Source organism: Homo sapiens, chromosome 7 (assembly GCF_000001405.40).
Source record: "Homo sapiens chromosome 7, GRCh38.p14 Primary Assembly".
NCBI lineage: Eukaryota > Metazoa > Chordata > Mammalia > Primates > Hominidae > Homo > Homo sapiens.
Window position 1 is genome coordinate 33,896,277 of NC_000007.14, and position 18,486 is coordinate 33,914,762.

The 18,486-nt window shown below is 41.7% G+C and overlaps 1 protein-coding gene across 3 annotated transcripts in view; it reads left to right on the plus strand.

Annotated features, from left to right (window-relative positions):
* BMPER (BMP binding endothelial regulator) overlaps positions 8,639-18,486 on the plus strand; it is a 251,513-nt gene continuing 241,665 nt past the window's right edge. For 2 of the 3 annotated variants that reach the window (NM_001365308.1, NM_001410872.1), the window contains exons 1-2: positions 9,263-9,470; positions 10,542-10,627. In NM_001365308.1, coding sequence (NP_001352237.1) covers positions 9,338-9,470; positions 10,542-10,627 — 219 coding nt within the window. In that variant the 5' untranslated portion in view covers positions 9,263-9,337. Of the gene's footprint in view, positions 8,869-9,197; positions 9,471-10,541; positions 10,628-18,486 lie in introns of those variants that run through there. The other variant, NM_133468.5, reaches the window with a different exon arrangement.

Below are 18,486 nucleotides of genomic sequence, written 5' to 3' on the forward strand. Positions count from 1 at the left end.
TCCTACGGTAGTAGCAGTGCTTCTCAAGCTTTAAAGTACATACCAACAACCCAGGAATCTTGTTAAAATGCCGATTTGGATTCAACCAGTCTGGAATGGGGTCTGAGATTCTGCAGTCTCCCCAGTGATGTAGATGCTCCTGGTTCAGGAAATACATTTTGAGTTTCAAGGAGCTAGAAGATCTTGAAGTTCTTTTGAATCATCAAAATAAATTTTAATTGGTTTGCATATTAATTAACTGTGCAAGCAATTAAATTATGCTTTATTATTAATTATATTTTATTGTTTTCTAATGCTTTGAAAGTCAGTAAACTATATATTCCGCTTGCATATGTCATGATAGCAAAGACATGGAATCAACCTAAATGCCCATCAATGATAAACTAGATAAAGAAAATGTGGCACATATACACCATGGAATACTATGCAGCCATAAACAAGAATGAGATCATGTCCTTTGCAGGGACCTGGATGGAGCTGGAGGCCATTATCCTTAGCAAAGTAACAGAGGAACAAAAAAGCAAATACCACATATTCTCCCTTGTAAGTGGGAGCTAAATGATGAGAACACATGGATGCATACATGGGGACAACATACAATGGGGCCTATCGGAGGTTGGAGGGTGGGAGGAGGGAGAGGATCAGGAAAAATAACTAATGAGTACTAGGCGTAATACCTGGATGATGAAATAATCTGTACAACAAACCCCCATGACATAAGTTTACCTATGTAACAAACTTGCACGTGTACCCCTGAACTTAATATAAAACAACCTTTTTTTAACCCATTAGGACATTGAAGTCACCAGAACATTCTATTCTTTCATCTAGGCTGGATTACCACGTGTTATCTTTAAGAACTCTGTGGCTTGAAGGAATTTCGCCTTCAATCAAAGAGTAATTTAGGCACCATGAGAATTACTTTCCAAACTATAAGGGAAAGTAATGACTATACTAACAACAAGTTGTCAAAATTAAACTTCCAATTTTTCAGGTTTTTCAAGCCCACTCTTTTGCCCCTGAGGGAATTAACTGCACAGAAGACTAGATGAGGAGACCCTGTGGCCCACTTTAAAACCAAGACGGCAATCCCATATCACCTAGATTTTGGGGGTTCATTAATGCTTACACTTATCAGTCTCCAGATGTTCACGGGCAAAAAGTAACACATTCACAGATGGTACAGAGCAAACACTTATTATGATGCCCAAAGAACAAAAGCTATTGGTAGCAGTGAAGAATAAAGTGACCCACAAATAGGCTGCTATTTACTTGTTTGTTTTGTCTGGGGCCCATTTAATTGCGTCTGTTCGCACTACAATAGCTAATGCCCAGCCATTATTTCCATCATAAACCTCACTGGGGATGAGAAATGCAACAGAACGAGATCCTTCTCATGAAATTGATTTTTTCCCTCCATCAGTTAAAATATTCAGCAAAGGTGTTGGGTTCTCCCCAACTCCTTTCCATTTACACAAATAAAAAATATATGTACATTTAAATGGTTAAAGGCTATTTTAAAAACATAAATGGCTGCCTTCTATGTTTTAGAGAATATAACGTCTCAAATTAGAGAAGTGGAAACTGTGGGACTTTAATGTGAACAAAATGAATGTATGGCAAATTTAATGGGAATAAAGTACCTGCAGGCACGCAGTAGTTTTCAATAAGTGTGTATGTATTGAACTGAAGGGCCTTAGGACTGATTGCTAGGTTTGCCTAGCAAAGGCTGACACAGACTGTGAAGATAAGGGCAGGCTCCAGCATGGAGAAAGAGGCTGCTGACATCCATGCCCTGTGATCTCAGGGATCCAGCAAGGCCAGCCTTTCCTGTTCTCTTTCTTCCTCTGCAGTTCTCGTTCTAGTGCCTAAAAAATGTCTACATATAGCCTTAGTCCTTTAGGTGGAGGCATTGCTTATAACAGATGCTATAGTACCTAGATGTTGGCTGTATTGATTTTGCAATATTATTATTATTGTCAATAATATCTATGCTGACCAACATTTACTCAGGGTCACCCATGTGGCAGACTTCAGGAAGAGAGGAAAACTCCTCAACTCAAGTTTTAAAAATCCAGGGGAAGAGCTGAGGTCACATTCCAAATCCTGGAACAATAAATGTGGTCAGAGAGATGAGAGGCTGTGATTGGCCCAGCATGGACCTTACGACTTCTGTGTTTGCTGGAAGTGTGTTTGGGAATGGGGAGTATAATGATTGGCAGAGTTCACTAAGACCACATATTTTGAGGAATGTTTCCTAAAGAAGGTGCATGCTCTCCTGGAAAAAAATTCATACACACCACAGCTTTGGGCAAGTTCTTACTTTATTTGAATTTCAGTAGGATTATCTGTAAATGGAGAAGTTGGATTAGATGCTTTTTGAGGGTTCTTTAATATCTAGAAGTCTCTAGTTTTGTTACCTTCTAAAATACAACATTATATAAAATAATTTCATATTCATCCCTGACAAGCAAGCAGAGGTGATACTATCTCATCTTATTGGGTGGGAAAATTGAGGCTCACAAAGTTAATTAACTGGCCTCAAATCATTAGAATGTCACCCGGCCCATCTTAACTGTTTTTAAGCATACAATTAGTACTGTTTAATACTTTCACATGATTTTGCAATCAATCTCCAGAACTCTTTTCATCTTGCAAAACTAAAACTCTGCCCATTAGACAATTCCCCATTCCTCCCTCCCTGCAGTTCCTGGCAACGACCTTTCTTCTTTTTGCCTCTGAATTTGCTACTGTAGGTGCCTCATATAAGTAGAATCACACAGTATTTGTCTTTTGGTGATTGGCTTATTTCACTTAGCATAATGTCCTTAAGTTTCATCAATGTTGTAGTATGTATCAGGATTTCCTTCCTTTTTAAGGCTGAATAATATTTCATAGTATATCCTCACCACATGTTGTTACTCATTTATCCCTTGAGGGGGACACTTGGGTTGCTTCCACATTTTGGCTACCACGAATAATGCTGCTATGAACATGGTTGTACAGATATCTGAAAGTTGTTTTTTTTTTTTAAATAAAGAACATTGGAAGTCCCCCTAAATTTTATAAGATAGATGTAAATTACATAAGATACTTATATCTTATAAGATATTTTTCTTGGCTCTGAAAGTGCTTGAAACATTAATAAATACAAAAATATATTAATTAATTAACACAGGTAACTATTTACTGAGCACTTATTTCTTGTCTTTGGTATGTGCTAAATGCTTCAGATGATTTCAGGTTTAGCTGCCAAGTAACAAAACACACACACACACACACACACACACACACACACACACTAACAAGCATTAAAACAATGTAGGTGTTACTTTTCCCCTCACATTCAGGAAAGCCAGAGGCATCAGCCCAGGCTTCCATTGCACTCCATGGTGTCAGAGTCTAATCTCATTTCTTGTTTGCCATTTCCCAGAGGCATTTTTCCCAAGGTATCCCCAGGGGAAAGATTTTGCTGGAGCCTTACTTACATTATCATGTCTGTATTCCAGCCATCAGATTGGAGGAAGAGAAGAAGAAAGAGCATGTCCTTCCTTTAGTGACATTTCTCCATTTCTATCCCATTGGCCAGAAGTTAGTCATGGGATCACTACTACCTGTATGAAAGACTAAGAAAAATGATCTTTATTGCTGAGAGCCACATACACTGCACAAACTGGGGGGTTCTATCTTGAGAAAGAAGGAAAGACTAGATGTTGGGAGACAGCCGGGAGTCTCTGCCAGAGCAGCCATACATGTTAAATATCAACCTGGTAGTATACCTCCCTACGTAAGTAAAGTTGAACTGTTTCTGAGTCTATAGATAATCTTGAATGCTAATTCTGCAGTAACGTTGATTATTCCCTCCTCTGTTGATGTTTACTCCAATGAGATCAACTTAAAGTCTTGAAGCAGGAGAGCTTAAAGTAGAAGAGCTAGTGAAACCTAGAACAATAGGAGTGAGGCATTAGCTTAATATTCTGGTTCCCTGGGTTGGTCTTGAGATCTCCTTGGCCATCCCTCACTTCGGATAGATGGGGCTGCAGCTTTGGTGCCAATGAAGCTGGTGATTAGGTAAGCTTGTTTTGGGGAGTGACTTCTGGATGGAATGTGGAGAAGAGAACTCTTTTTCAAAGATCATTATCTATGAATTGGCAACACTGGTGCCTCCCTGACAATGAAGCCAAATTTACATCTGATTTTTATAACTTCTAATATCAAAATGACTTATGTATTCAGCAAGCCCCTGAAGATGAATCAGTACATAGAAATATTTTGGATGTTTTGATGGGAATTGTTAAAATCTTTGTTTTAACTATGTAACTTCATTTTATTTTAGTTGTATAACTAGAGAATTTTTGACACTCCAAACCAGTTAGTTTGGCTCATGGACATTGAAATGAATGAGTACTGTGTGAAACAGCAAACATTACCCCATTACTCACAGCATACCATTGTCCTTGAGGCAGGGATTGAGATGGGGTCAGGGCCAGGGAAAGAGTGAAGGTGGCTTTATTTATTACAATATTAATTTAAAAAAATAGTAATTTTGTTATTTCCATGAAACTGTGTTTAAAAATGTCACTTTCCTATCATCCTCATCAAAATGCCCTGCTTTAGAAATAAACTCTGTAATGAGTACAATTATATGAAAAGAATCTTAAGGCTACAAAGAATGAAGAAAAATGATTAAGTAAGAAAAGATCAGGCTAATGATTTAATAATTTAATTTTAATAATTATCATTTATATAAATTATACAATATCATGGGGATGATGCTTTTATCATTGTCCCTACTCCCTCCTATCTCCTCCAAAAAATGTCATTTCTGAGTCTCTTATTTTTTGGAATGGCATTAAAGCCTCAGGCAGAATCTAGAGGACTTCTCACCAGCCTCAATGGTGTCCACCTCTCTCTGAAACTAAGCGAACCTGTAGCAAAGCCTAGAAGAGAAGTGCAGTTCTTCAAGGTTTTAGCCGAGTGACTTCAGAATAAATTCAGTTTAACCAGTGAGCTAAGTTGTGGTCTGCTTTTTATGGTGTTACAACTTGTTTTCTTGGTACCAGTTTAGTTCGATAAATATTTGAGTACTTATTTCACCATCTCTGTAATTTTAATTTGCATCATATCTAAAATATTCAGTGGTCCTTTCCTCAAATTCTTATGACTCATAATCTAAGAAGGCAAAACATTTATAATGGTAAACATCATGATCAGGGAGCCAGAGGACCCCTGTTTAAATGGATTATGCCATTAACTAGTTGTGTGACCCTGGGCAAGTCATTTACTCCTCAGCCTTTAGATTTCTCATTTTTAAAGCGAAAGGGCAGGGAGTTGGTTTATATGATGTCTAAGATCTCCAGTGCTTCAAATAAATAGTTAAAAGTGGCATTTCTACTTTCAACCCAAGAAGAATCATATAGCCATAGCTAAAGAGGTTGAATATAATGATTCATGTAGAGAATCCACTCCATCACCTTCAAACACGGGAAGGTGGAAATGGTGCTCTCTAGTATTACATTGACCACATGTTCAGATTGCTGAATACACCTGCAGAAAAAAATTCCATTCTAAAGAAATGCATTCTGGTTGTTTCAAAGAAAAATTAGGCACTCACTCTATGGTAGATTTCCTGTTGGTCACCCGGGAGTGAATCCTTCAAGAACCACCTGTACATTTCTCCTTATCTCCAAGCCTCCCAACAGCTCCAGCTCAGTGGGCAGATGGGGCCAATGGAATTCCTGTTCCTTGTTCTCTTTGTAAACCCTGAGTCTCTCTGCTGTTACTCCCTGCTGTGTCCAGGCTGCCCTTCCCTCACTAGAGCCTACCTCTTCATTCAAAGCTCAGTTTCGAATGCCACCTCCTCCAGGAAGCTTAATCTCCTCTTTGAAATTTCCATGGCATATTATCTTCTCTTCTTACCTTCACTTCTACCTTTTACTGTATTCATTATAAACATAGTTTATCCTCCTTACTAGACTGTAAGATCCTTGGTAGCATAATCCTTTATCTTTATCAAGTGTAAATGCCTTTTTTAAGGTGTAACTTTCTCAAGTTTATGAAATACCTTGCACCCTGCCCTAGTGGTAGGTATCACAATCTCTTTACCCTGTTTCCTTTGGGAAGGGTCTATTGGTTTCTACTTTTAGGAAGCTGGGTTGATGTGATTTCTCTAGAAGCATCTTTCAGACTTGAATCCACGTGACTAAGTTGTATGTTCAGTTGAATTTTTCAGTGAGAATTTAGCATCGTAGTTTTGAGAGGAGATGAAGAAAGTTGCTCTTACTGCAGGCCTGGCCCCTTTTAATCTGATTAGGTTTCACAGTTTATTTTCCAGAGAAAGAGATGAGACAGAGTTTTGTCTAATTGAGACTGGGACAGGCCCAGAGTTAAACATTGGTCTTTGGGCCCCATCACCTCTTTCCCCTTGAAAAATGTCATAAGCAGACCCAAATACACATTTTTTCCCCTCATTTTGATTTCAGCCAAAGCCATTTTGGGATTTGGATGGTACCACTATTTATTTAGTTAAACTGTGAAGGCAGATCTGTGTGCTTTTCAGTGCAGGCATTCTTTTTTCTTTTTGACCCTGGAATATCTCCGTTTTGTGTAGACAGAGACCAGTTGTCAGCTGATAGACTATCACTTGAGGGGTGATGGCAGCAGTAGATGCATGGGAAAACATCTTGATAAGGCCTTGGAGAAAAGGCTGCTCTTTCGGAAGCAGGGCCCATTTGCCAAGAAGGCAGCAAGGGAAATCGCTGGTGGCAGAGGCTTATAACAAACAGGAAGAAGAGACAGGTTTGCCAAAGGCTTCTGTGCATTTTTCCCCTTCGCAAACTTTCAGACAGATGAAAATGTTTTTAAGGTGGTTTTTGGGTTTGCACCTACAGGGAGAGTTCCAGTGCATTCCAAAGCACCATGCTGCACATTATGGAAATGCCACACACAGCTAGATTCTATCATAAAGAAATTTGTCATGCAAATTCTGAGGATGTTTGGCTGGTGTCAGGGAGGGAAGGCATATCAAAGTAACTCAGGCACACCCTTCAAATGTCTTGCAATTTCATAGCATGCATTTATCCAAATTTATGGCTAAGGCAACAAAAGGTCTCCCAGCTTCCTTATTCTTCAGCTTTCCATAATTAAATTATGATAAACAACTTTATCTAAAAGCCTCATCCAGGGACAATCTTTTTAGATAGAGGAGATAGTGGTTCCAACTGATTGTACTTATCTGCAGCAATAAAGGTTTCTATTTATTTAATTTTTAATTTTAATTTTATTTATTTTTTAATGAGTCCCTGGGAAGTAAGGCTGGATTTAGAGATTTTTCTCTTTTTGCATATTATCTTTATGATTAGTAAATACATAAACACACTGGTTTCCGAGAAGCTGCCTGGCCATGGCTTTATTTGGGTGGGGGGAGGGAGGGAAGGAATCACACATCAGCCTTCTCTTTCAATTTAAATTTTACGGTAAGAATCTATTTTGGGAGGGAAATGGAGCATGCTAAGCTAATGACAGTTTTCCCTTCTCTTATTTTTCCCACGTCACAGCAACGTGCTCGCATCAGCTCCTCGGTGTGTCGCGATGTTGGCAATGTTGCACTAATTAAGTGAAGTCTCCAAATCACTCGAAAAAACGAATAAACAGTCAACGAGGCAGGGAAGGGTTAAGGTGAAGCTAGATTAAACCTGTCAGCAAACAGACTCATTTATTTTCAAAGCTGTAGTTTCCACAATGGAAACAACCCACTTTGCCTGGAGACCCTTAGGTCCGTTCCGTGGGGACCCGGTTTCAACTCTTGGACAGAGGAAGTCGGTAGTCCACCGTGAGCTCAAGGACAGCTAGCTGATCGTCAGGTCCCAACACTTGCCAAGCGTCCCTCACTCCCACCTCGCGCCTTCGTACTTTGGTTACAAAAATCATCTCTCTGCGATTGCACCCCTTTTGAGTAGAGGGTGCCACTGCGTGGGGAGGAGGCGGCGATTCAGCAGGGGGATCACAGGAGCTGACTCCCCGACACCCAGTGCTGCAGAGGCGAGAGGGCGCAGCCGGGCTGAGAGAGCGACGGAGCTCCGAGCTGCAGAGGCCGCCGCGCGGCGGCCCCCGCCAGAGATGAGCGGTGGGGCGGGGGTTCCTCCCTCTTTTCGGGTGAATGAATGATTAGTCAAACACCACCTCCCCGCCCCGGTCCGCCCGAGATTGGAAGGGAGGAGTCTCGGAGCGACTGTTCATTTTTTAAGGACGAAAGGCGTTTGCCTCGGTACGTTTTTAAATCGACCTTGTGTGTGTTTCAACTTCGGTCATCCCTAGTGTCAGGACGCGCAGACAGCTAAGCACAGAACACATCTCTAAGGCCACTTGCCCCTCTGTCCGCTCAGCCCCCTGAGTTCGCTGTCGCGCCCCCGCCAGAGGGAAGCAAAGCAGGGCATGAAAAGTTGCGGGGGCCCTACTGCCCCGGGTGTGTCGCTCCTTCCCAAAGGTGGGGCACCCGGGAGCGAGCAGGGTGGTGGGGCGCCCCTGCGTCCCGTTTGCTGCTCCCTCGCTGGATTGGGGCACCCGGGCCTGAGCGCTAGTGCTGCGGCATCCCCGGGGCTCCCCCAAGAAAGGGAGGAGGAGCCGCGCTCGCCCGGACAGTGGAGACGCGCCTTCTCGGCTCTGGTCCGCGCCCTGGGGCCCTGGCCTCCCTGGAGGGGCTGGGGAACTGGAAGCTGGGCCGAGAGAGTTCCCGCTGCAGCTATCGCGCAGTCCCTCCTGCGCCCGGGCGCCCCCAGCGGGTTCCGGGAGGCGCCCGGTGAGCCCACGTCTGTTGCGGCGGAGCGAGCGCGCTCCGGGAGGGCCGAGAGCCGGCGGGGCTGGCAGGAGGTGAGGAGTGCGGGAGTGGAGGACGCTGCGGCAGCGACAGCGACAGCCCCCGAAACAGTAGCGGCAGCCCGGGCGGCGGCTGAGCGGCAGTGCGCAGTCGGCAGCGCCGCAGCTCCTCTCAGTCTATCTCCGGCTGCCGCAACACCCCTTCCTCCTGGCCCCCTCTCCGGCGCTGAGGGGCTGACTGCTAAGCCACTGCAAGCAACTCCCTCAGGAAAAAAAAAAAAAAAGCCGCATCGGAGGAGCCTGGCCGCAGGACCCCTCCTCCCCGGGCGCCCCCACACCTTGGTCTCTCCCCCCGCCCTCCCTCACACCCCCCCGCCCCCCAGCTCTCGGGCGCCCGCCTCCCTCCTTCGCGGACGGTCTCCCGACACGCCGGCTGAGAGCCCTTTTCGACTGTGAGCTGCGGCAGCTGAGCAGAGGCGGCGGCGCGGGACCTGCAGTCGCCAGGGATTCCCTCCAGGTGACGATGCTCTGGTTCTCCGGCGTCGGGGCTCTGGCTGAGCGTTACTGCCGCCGCTCGCCTGGGATTACGTGCTGCGTCTTGCTGCTACTCAATTGCTCGGGGGTCCCCATGTCTCTGGCTTCCTCCTTCTTGACAGGTAGGGGAGGGGGCGGGAGGGACCGGCCCTCCGGGACGCCGGTTTGGTACCTGGGAAAGGTGGCGCTGGCTTGCCCCGGGGATGGGAGGGTGGGGAGCGCGCACCTTGGCGCTTGCCCTGCGCTGGTCGATGGGGATGAAGCGAAGCCCCGGGAGGGCTGGGAAGGCTGGTGAAGAGGTTGCGGGCTGAGAGGCTGTTGCCTTCAATGTAGTAATAATAGACATTCTTCTATTTGAATTTGAGAAATTATTTTATTTATTTTTAATGCTTTCCTCAACTTTTATTTTAATCTTTCCCTCTGTAGAACTCAGGAAAAAAATTTGTGCAGTTTTCCGCACATCTTCCTTTCTCATCTTTGGGGTTGCAATACATCCACTGTGCTAGGAGTGCTTTTTAAAGCACTGGCTCTCAAGACCTTGAATTTAAAGAAACTATCATTTAAAAAGGGCACTAATAGCCGGATATAATAATTATATGTTTTCAGGCAGGTGAAGACCTCAGCTGCTATTCTGAAGGACATACTTTACTGACACCTGGTGCAGAAAAGAAAATATGGAGTCAATTTCTAAGAGAAGGGAAAAGGGGATTGCGTTTCAAAAAGTGATTTAAACCTAAGACAATGCGAGACAGATTCATAGAAAGGCCTGTTTATTGACTCAGTTCTGAGTTTTGGTCAATTTAAAATCTGCCCCAATTTGAGGGTTTTTTTAAATTTTATTTTTTATTTTTTTCTTTGCGTATGGGGCTGTGTGCTTAGTTGAAATATCTTCATAAAGGAGGAGTGTTATTAAAAATCCAGTGAAATACTTGGAATTGTGCTTAGACCATCTGAGAACAGATAATTTATCCCTATATCATAGTCTTTTCTTTTTTGAACCTGTTTAAATAAAATTATTGAAAATGGAGTTGGGGGCAGAGGTTTTGCTTTGGTGAATTTAATAATTTAAACCACATTAAGAATTCTGAAGTTTGGGTAGAGGTTTCAAAAAGGATTAGTGTAAAAATTTTAAATGTTGAAATCATGCTGCTAAGCTAACTTTAAATGAAACATTTTTCCCCCCTGAATTTCAGGTTCTGTTGCAAAATGTGAAAATGAAGGTGAAGTCCTCCAGATTCCATTTATCACAGACAACCCTTGCATAATGTGTGTCTGCTTGGTAAGTGTGGAGATCAGGTAATATGAACTCAACTGCTCTCTCTGATAAGGTGAATCCATTAAATGTGATAATATAACCAGATCTTACAAATTGTCTTTATCATTACAAAATTGCACATAACTGTACATAGTTTGTGAGTTGAATCCAGTTAATTTCTGAGTTTTATGGACTTTGGCAATTTCCATTTCATCCAGCTGGAAATTCTTATCTTTGACATCATCCTTATAGACGTAAATTTCAGATAGGCTTTGTATGACGTCTCGGTGAAATGACAGTTTGTAATGTCTGTTTCCAGTAATGATTACTACAACCAAATTCTTGGGACAACAAAACTTTCTGCGTTGGTTCTGTCATTTAAGCTCAGTGGGAAAATGATGAGATAAGATTTAAGTATGAAGGTCAGGAATAAGGTATGCGACAAAGGGAAAGAGAGGTGACAGCCACAAAAAACAAACATAAGGACAAGATGTAATTCTGGATTTCTTTCTCGGGTTTCTTTGCCTGTTATACCCTAAACCCTCAAATACTGTCTTTATTTCTGATTTGGAAGCATGAGTCGGAAAGGACAATTCCATCCTTAATAGAGAATGACACTTGGCTGTCAGCTGCTTAGTTAACACTATCAGTGGTTAGAAGACTCAAAAAATAATTTGTTTCCATTTATTTTAGTTTAGTAGTTAATGATAAGTCTAATAAGTAACCACTTGGGGGAGATTAAGTAATGTGAATAAGAATTTCTGAGATGAAATATAGACCTACAAGGTAAACATTTTTGCTTAGGAGTGTTTTACATGCCAATCACTTTTGGCAAAATTTGGTTAGAAACTACACATTATAAAACCTTGTTGGAAATACATTAAGGCAGTCAAATGCAAAGCCCCAGAATGATAGAGGACTACTTGTTGCTAGATCAGCATGCTGTGTGGCGCTGGAGAAGGAATTCATTTCGGTTTAGGCAAAAGCCAAGCTATCTGAGTTTATACTACATAAATTTTTTCATGACAAGAGTTGAGGTCAATGTTTTGAAGTGATAAATGGGTGAAGGTAAATGGCTGTATCAAACAATTATCAGGTTCGGAAGACTAAGGAAATCAACAGAAACAAGTAAAAACGCACTGCGTTTGCTGACACAATAAATATTGCTGCCTAATAAAACAGAGCTGAGAGAGGGTGTATTATGATTGCATATTTATGGGTTGCTGTGTTCATTGATGATCTTTTAGTAAATAATTTGTTGAAAAGAAGCTTTCAGTTTAAATTTTGACTCAGTTGTAGATTTACAAATGCAGTGTGTGTGTATGTGTGTTTAATCTTCCTTTTTTATTTTTCTTATCTGTGTAATGTGAGTGAATTATTTTATCTTAATCTATTAAGATTTCAGAGGAAATTACCTTGACCAAGTAATATTTAAATGTGCCGAGAGCTTTGCATATAAATATATTGTTTTCACTTCAGCAATATTAGTACTTATCAAGCTTACGTATGTAGTTTGAGTTTTGTAAACTGTTCCCAAATAACATTATGAGAAATTCTCCCCACAGCATTCCCCCCTTTTCAGTACTCCTACCCCTGCTAAAAATAGTGCCTTTCTCTGAAAGTGGAGACTTAGTGATAAGAAGATAGATGTTAGAGTCCTGCAGTTTTGAAGGTAAAGATTACATCTGAAAAGATGCATCAGTTGGAATTCAAGTGGGAGTGATATTTATTACAGAAAAGTATCAATTAAATTCAGAAGGGCAGTAGGTTTATTTATGTCTTCAACATTTAAGTAACAGTTGTAGGTATCTGCCTTGGGTGAGTGCTGTCAGAAATCCTTTCTAAATGTGTAATATTAGGACTTTGGCTATCAGCTTCACCCATTACAGAGCTCTTTCATTGGCTGAAAGGCTCAGTGATATGTTATCATGACCTTTGCAGGGGTTTAGAATTATGGGGTCCAAGTTGTCACAGTCATTGCTGCTTCCCAAACGTTTGTAATGACTTGGTAAAATTGAGTAATAATAGATGGATGACCACTTATCTCTTTGTATAACACTCTTGTACATTTCCACGAACCCACTGCAGTTCATGGATTTCAAAGCACTCCGGACAGCCAGGAAGCTACTTGGCATTTTTGTACCTAGGCTGGAAGGTAGACCTATTGAGCAAATTGATAATAATAGCAATGGTAAACATTTATGTGTACTATTTTTATTTTATTTTATTTTTGCTTGTAGGGCCTCATCTAAGCCTGCATTATTTCATTTAATCTTCACAAAACTCCTTTGAGGGCTTTTACCTTTATTTTACAGATGAGGAAACTGAGGCATAGGGGGCTAAGTAGCTTGTGAAGGTTGCATTTGAGTAAATAGTGGAGCCGAAACTGTCTCAGTTTTGTCTGCCTCTAGAGCACATGCCTATAACCATAAGAAACAGCCTATTTGTTGAGTTAAAGATGTGAGAAAGTAAGGAGAAAATAGAAAGAACATCCAAATTATTTTACCTTTTGGCGTTCCTTGGGTTATTTTGTTTTTTCTTTTGAGTCTTTCAGGAGTTCAGTTAGTTGACATTTGTTAATCGCATTATATGAAAGGAAAATCTCGTTATGATTTCAGTTGACCTGCAGGGAGCGTTAGTGGTTAGCTGGTTTTATGTATGTACATTAAGAGGGTATGTAATAGTCTCAACTGTACTTTGGATAAAGAAAATAGTCATATTTAGTTTGTGTTGGTCCAGCCTTTTGGCAGAAAGGTACCTAAGGCTGAGTATAAGCTCATATCTTATTTCATAACATGTACAAAAAAAAAAAAAAAAGAAAGAAAAAGCTAACGTCAACGTATGCTTAAAAAAGATGTAAAATGTTACAGTTGGGAGGAAATAGGTGGCACAAAGTCCTGTATATAATTACAGAGTAAAAGCTTAAAAAACCCCACAAAAATCAACTTGGCCTGATTTAAACTTTTAAGCTGTGAAATGTTTCAAAGGTTGGAGTGAGCTCATTTCTGTGGAGTTTTTGAGGATGACAGTGGGTGCAGTGGCCACTGTAAGCAGAGCTGAATAATTTTATTCTCATTTATCATCCTCTGCGTAGACCTGAGCATCTTGCCAGAACCAGTCCCAGTCCAAGAATAACTGGTTTGTTAGCTGGTGATGGAATCTCGTTTTAAAGTATGTGGCCCAAAAAGCTTCAGTTCATCTATTTGAGGGGGTAGGTGAGAAGTTGGATCATGGTCCTAAAATCTAGGGAACTGGGTAGGCAGTTGAGATTAAACTGCATGTGCTTTATTGTTTAGTCAGAAAGCAAAGCATAACTTTTCCCTACCTTACAAAATGGTCTTTTATGGGGCCGAGGAAAGGAAGCCAACAGTTATTACTGTTTTTGTATGATATTTTCCCACTTTCTTGCTAGAATTATTTTTCCCATAATGTCTAGGAAAACACGTTGGTGCCTGCCCTGGAGTACAGCTGAGAAGAGAGCCAGCCACACCTAGATAAATGAAACTGAAGCCATTCTCTGATCTTTGGGACATCCCTAGGTCCACCAAGCACACATGAGAAGTGTGGTGCTTGATCTTCTCAGCCTTTTCCACCTAACTGTAGAATAGGAGGACATGGCGGGAGCCAGTGAGTTGGGCCCAGTACTGGAAACCTGAGAAAACTTTGGAGGCTGGGACTCAGAAAACCCGAAGTCAGAGCTTAGTTTGGCGTACATTTTGTTCAGCAAAAAACATTATTCTGAGGTTGAAATTTCCTCTTTAAAATCCAGAGGTGCAATGTAGAAATGGACCCTTTGCTCATAAAAAGCAACATGAAATTCAATGTTACAAGAATCAGGGCTCCACCTGTCTTGGAGCCAATCAAATAGTGAAGACAGAGAGACCTTGTCTGCTGTCTTCTACTTTTTTAATCACAAAAATCTAATATCGCTGAACAAGGAGCTCCCAGCATCTTAGATTCTGTCTGGTGTCTTATCTCCATAAAATCCTCATGTTCTTCATTGTTCAAATTAACTGGCTGGAGAATAGATATCTATTATCTAAACAAGTGTTAGGCACATGTTTGAGGATGAGGGAGATAACATTGCATGAGGATTCAATTCATGTGTGTATGCACGTGTGAAACAGAGAGAGAGAAGATATAAAGTAGACCAGATGTGTTCAGAGAGGTACTGCACTCAGTATATGCACAAATACATAGATTGCCTTGCTTTTTCCAAGTTGTTTCAGGTCATTTCTAGACTTTGGATGCTCACTAAGGAAGCAATCAGATTTATTTATTTTTACTCTGTTTAGAAGGTGATGTGACCAATTACCTTTCAACAGAACAATTTTTGGGAAAGGTAACAGTTAATGTATAGGATTGTGTCGGCAAATTCACAAAGACTAGTTCTGAGAGTTATTCTCGTCCATGCTTTATTCAGGCTCAGAGAAGTAGAGCAAATCTCGTGAGATCACACAGTTACTAAGAGACAGAACTGGGATGTGAAGTCAGTTCCTTCTTTGCTAAACCAGAGTTTCCCTCTGCTGGAAACGTTTACTACTTAAAAACTTCTACAGATACCTTCAAGAGCTTCAGAGAGTCCTTTCAACCTGCACAGAGCTAATGTAGGCTCTCTATGGAGGCAGTTATAGTGGTTTTGATCTTGCAACCCAAACTGTCTAGAATTTGGAGAGCTCTTCCAAGAAAGACATGGGTTTTGGCTGGCATCATAACATTTTGGCAAAGAACTTTGGCCCAGACATCAGACAGTCTTGGGTTAAAATCAAACTGGTGGTGAAGTTGAGACAACTACCTCACCTTTCCAAACCTCAGTTTCTTCATCTGGAGAGTGGGATGGATGTCAACATCTAGTTCACAGAGTTGCTATGTGAATTAAATGAGATGTAGCACATAAAGTTTGGCCTGGGGCTTGGCATAGAGTAAACACTCTGGAATGATTTTTTATTGCTGTTGTTGATGATGGCATTATTTTTAAAAATTCTTATTTCCTCATATGGAATAGGATGCAAAATTTCAAAAGAAAATGATAAAAGGGACGACGGACGAGACATAGGAATAATGATGGCAAACCCACCCATTGTTACGCATGAACAAGGTTTGTCAGAAATGTTTAGTGAGTTTTTCTGTCCCTCCAGGCTTGGACTGGGCTGATCTAGGCTGCTTCCTTATTGGTCCAGTGATCCCAGTGATCTTTGGGCCCTGGTGTAAGTTTTCCCCTCGCTTTCCATTAAACATAAACAAACAAACAAACAAACAACAACAAAAAACACAACTTTCCGTGGAAGAGGGGCCTGCTTTCTTGCAGAGTATTTACATCTCTATGCCTGTGGGGTCACCTTCACTTGTACTTTTATTGGCAGAGGGATTGGGTTGGGACTCGGGAGCACTGTAATTCTGGAAAAACTGCCTAGTGGCCTGGCATCATGGGGATTTTCCTGGCCCGCCTTGTGGAAGGCTCTCGACCCCTTTCCAGAACTGAGTATGTTTTTGTTGCCTACTTACTCAATGCTCCCCTTCCCCATCCCATTTCAAACACTGTTTATTTTGTTTTGAGGCACTGGACTTGACTGTGGGTATCAACAGTAAATTGTGTTTTAAGTGTAGGAAATAATGTTGAGGAAAGAGAGCCCTTCCCCAGACTAGAATGCAAATAGGGGGAGGGCAGTAGAATAGGAGATAATGGGAAAAGTCAGGCAAGGCAAAATGATGGAAAAATAAAACTAGTTAATATGAATTTGTTGGGTAAATAAAGGATATCAGTTTTTCACACCCTCTTCTATGGCCCTTCTGTATAAATGATGATATATTGAGTCCTTTGTGCTATAAAAGAATATGAGTAACACCACCTTTCATGGCAGTGGGAGGTCAAGTGTGCTTGTTGAACTTAGTTAAGATCAGCAAATGAGCTGGGTGTATATTTTAAGACCTGTTGATTCCCAGTTCTAATTCTATAAAACACCACTCAAGGCACTAGGGATAGCAGGTTATAAATTCAATAATATTATTCTTTCTTCCTTCTTTCCACACTTCATCCCCTCTTCCATTTTATTTTATTATTTTTAGCCCTTTCTGTGTTTGAAGCATTGTGCTGGCTGGGGACCTTTGAGGAGACAAAGACCAACAGGACAGATTCTTGCCCACAGCCTAATGGGGGAGACGAACACATATATAAATAAGAAACTTTATAGGAGTGACAGAAAAGCACTGTAATAGACTCAAACCCCTGTACTAAGGGGGCTGCCAGTGAATTCTGACTAGGGTATCTGGGACCGTGATGTGGGAGGAGAGATGATCCAGGCAAAGCCTTGTTGGAGGAAGGACACAAAGAGAGTGTGCTTGGGACTGTGGAAATGGCAGCGTCTATTGTGCCCAAAGCTGTGATGGAGCTGGAGTTAGAAATCTCCATGGGAACCAGCAAGGGGAGCATCTTGAATGTAATAATAAGGATATCAGTTCCATTCATGTAACTGGGAGAAGCCATTTAATATTTTTGTGCAAACACATGACACAATAAAATAAATTTTATATAAAGATCTCTAGGAGCTTTTGTACGGGATATACAGAGTGTGAAGAGGCTGAAGTTTGGACAACAGACTGCAGCGATGTTGTGTGGTCAGGTGAGAGCAAGCAGCCTGGAGTAGGGGTGGGCAGTAGGAATGGAAAGAAGGTGTTGGGATAAACCAATGTTGCCCGGTCTTTTGAATTTCTTTGACTACATTCCAGTTCTAGAGTATTTACGTGAATACCAAAGGTATTGAAAAAAATAGAATATTTTGATAGAAAGACTCCAAACCATGCCCAAAAAGACACAGTTGCTAAAATGCAGCAGTAATTACAGTGGAGTGATTGGTAGCACAGCCACTTTGCTTGTCACTTGGTGTCTCCAGAGCAGGGCACTGCTACTTGAATAGAGTAGTTCTCTTCCCAGAGCTCACTCTTGAAATTATATTTGGAGCACCAGCTCTCTCCTCTTACTCTCAGTGACACCCTGCCTTACACTGCTGCGTGATCCATTTGGTAAATTATTCAGTCTGGTAGGTACGTTCATGATAGTAATGTATGCTCAGTTTTAGCACAATTTTTTTTTTTTTTTTTTTGAGATGGAGTCTCGCTCAGTTGCCCAGGCTGGAGTGCAGTGGCATGATCTCGGCTCACTGCAAGCTCCGCCTCCCGGGTTCGCGCCATTCTCCTGCCTCAGCCCTCCCGAGTAGCTGGGACTACAGGCGCCCGCCACTATGCCCGGCTAATTTTTTTTTGTATTTTTAGTAGAGACGGGGTTTCACCGTGTTAGCCAGGATGGTCTCGATCTCCTGACCTCGTGATCTGCCCGCCTCGGTCTCCCAAAGTGCTGGGACTACAGGCGTGAGCCACCGCGCCCGGCCTTCAGCACAATTTTTATACATTAATCAGGATTGGGTGGCTCACCTTTAAAAAGTGCACCAACGTGCCATGACATTGAGAACCACTAGTCTTGCAGAAGTGTTTTGGAGCCCACGTTTATAGCGCTTGGCAAGAAAATAGATGGCAGAGGTGAGAGATGGGAAAAACTGAAGGGAATTTTGAGAAGTCTGGCCAATGTCATAGACACTGTAGGAAGAGACGGGGTCATGTGGGTGGGTGGGTAGTAATCAGTTTACATGTAATGTGTTGGGCTTGATAGACCTTCAAGGTAGAAACGCCATGTAGGCTCTTAAAAGATCGTGAGTTCAGTATAGAGAAATCAGGACTAGAGGTTAGCAATTTGTTACCTGTCTGCATAGAAATAAACTTCAAAACTTTGGGAATAAATTATTTGCCTTGGGGAGGAGTCTAAATTGAGATTTTAAAAAAATGGGCCTATAATATTAACTAGAAGAAGGGTTGTATCTAAGAGAAGGATA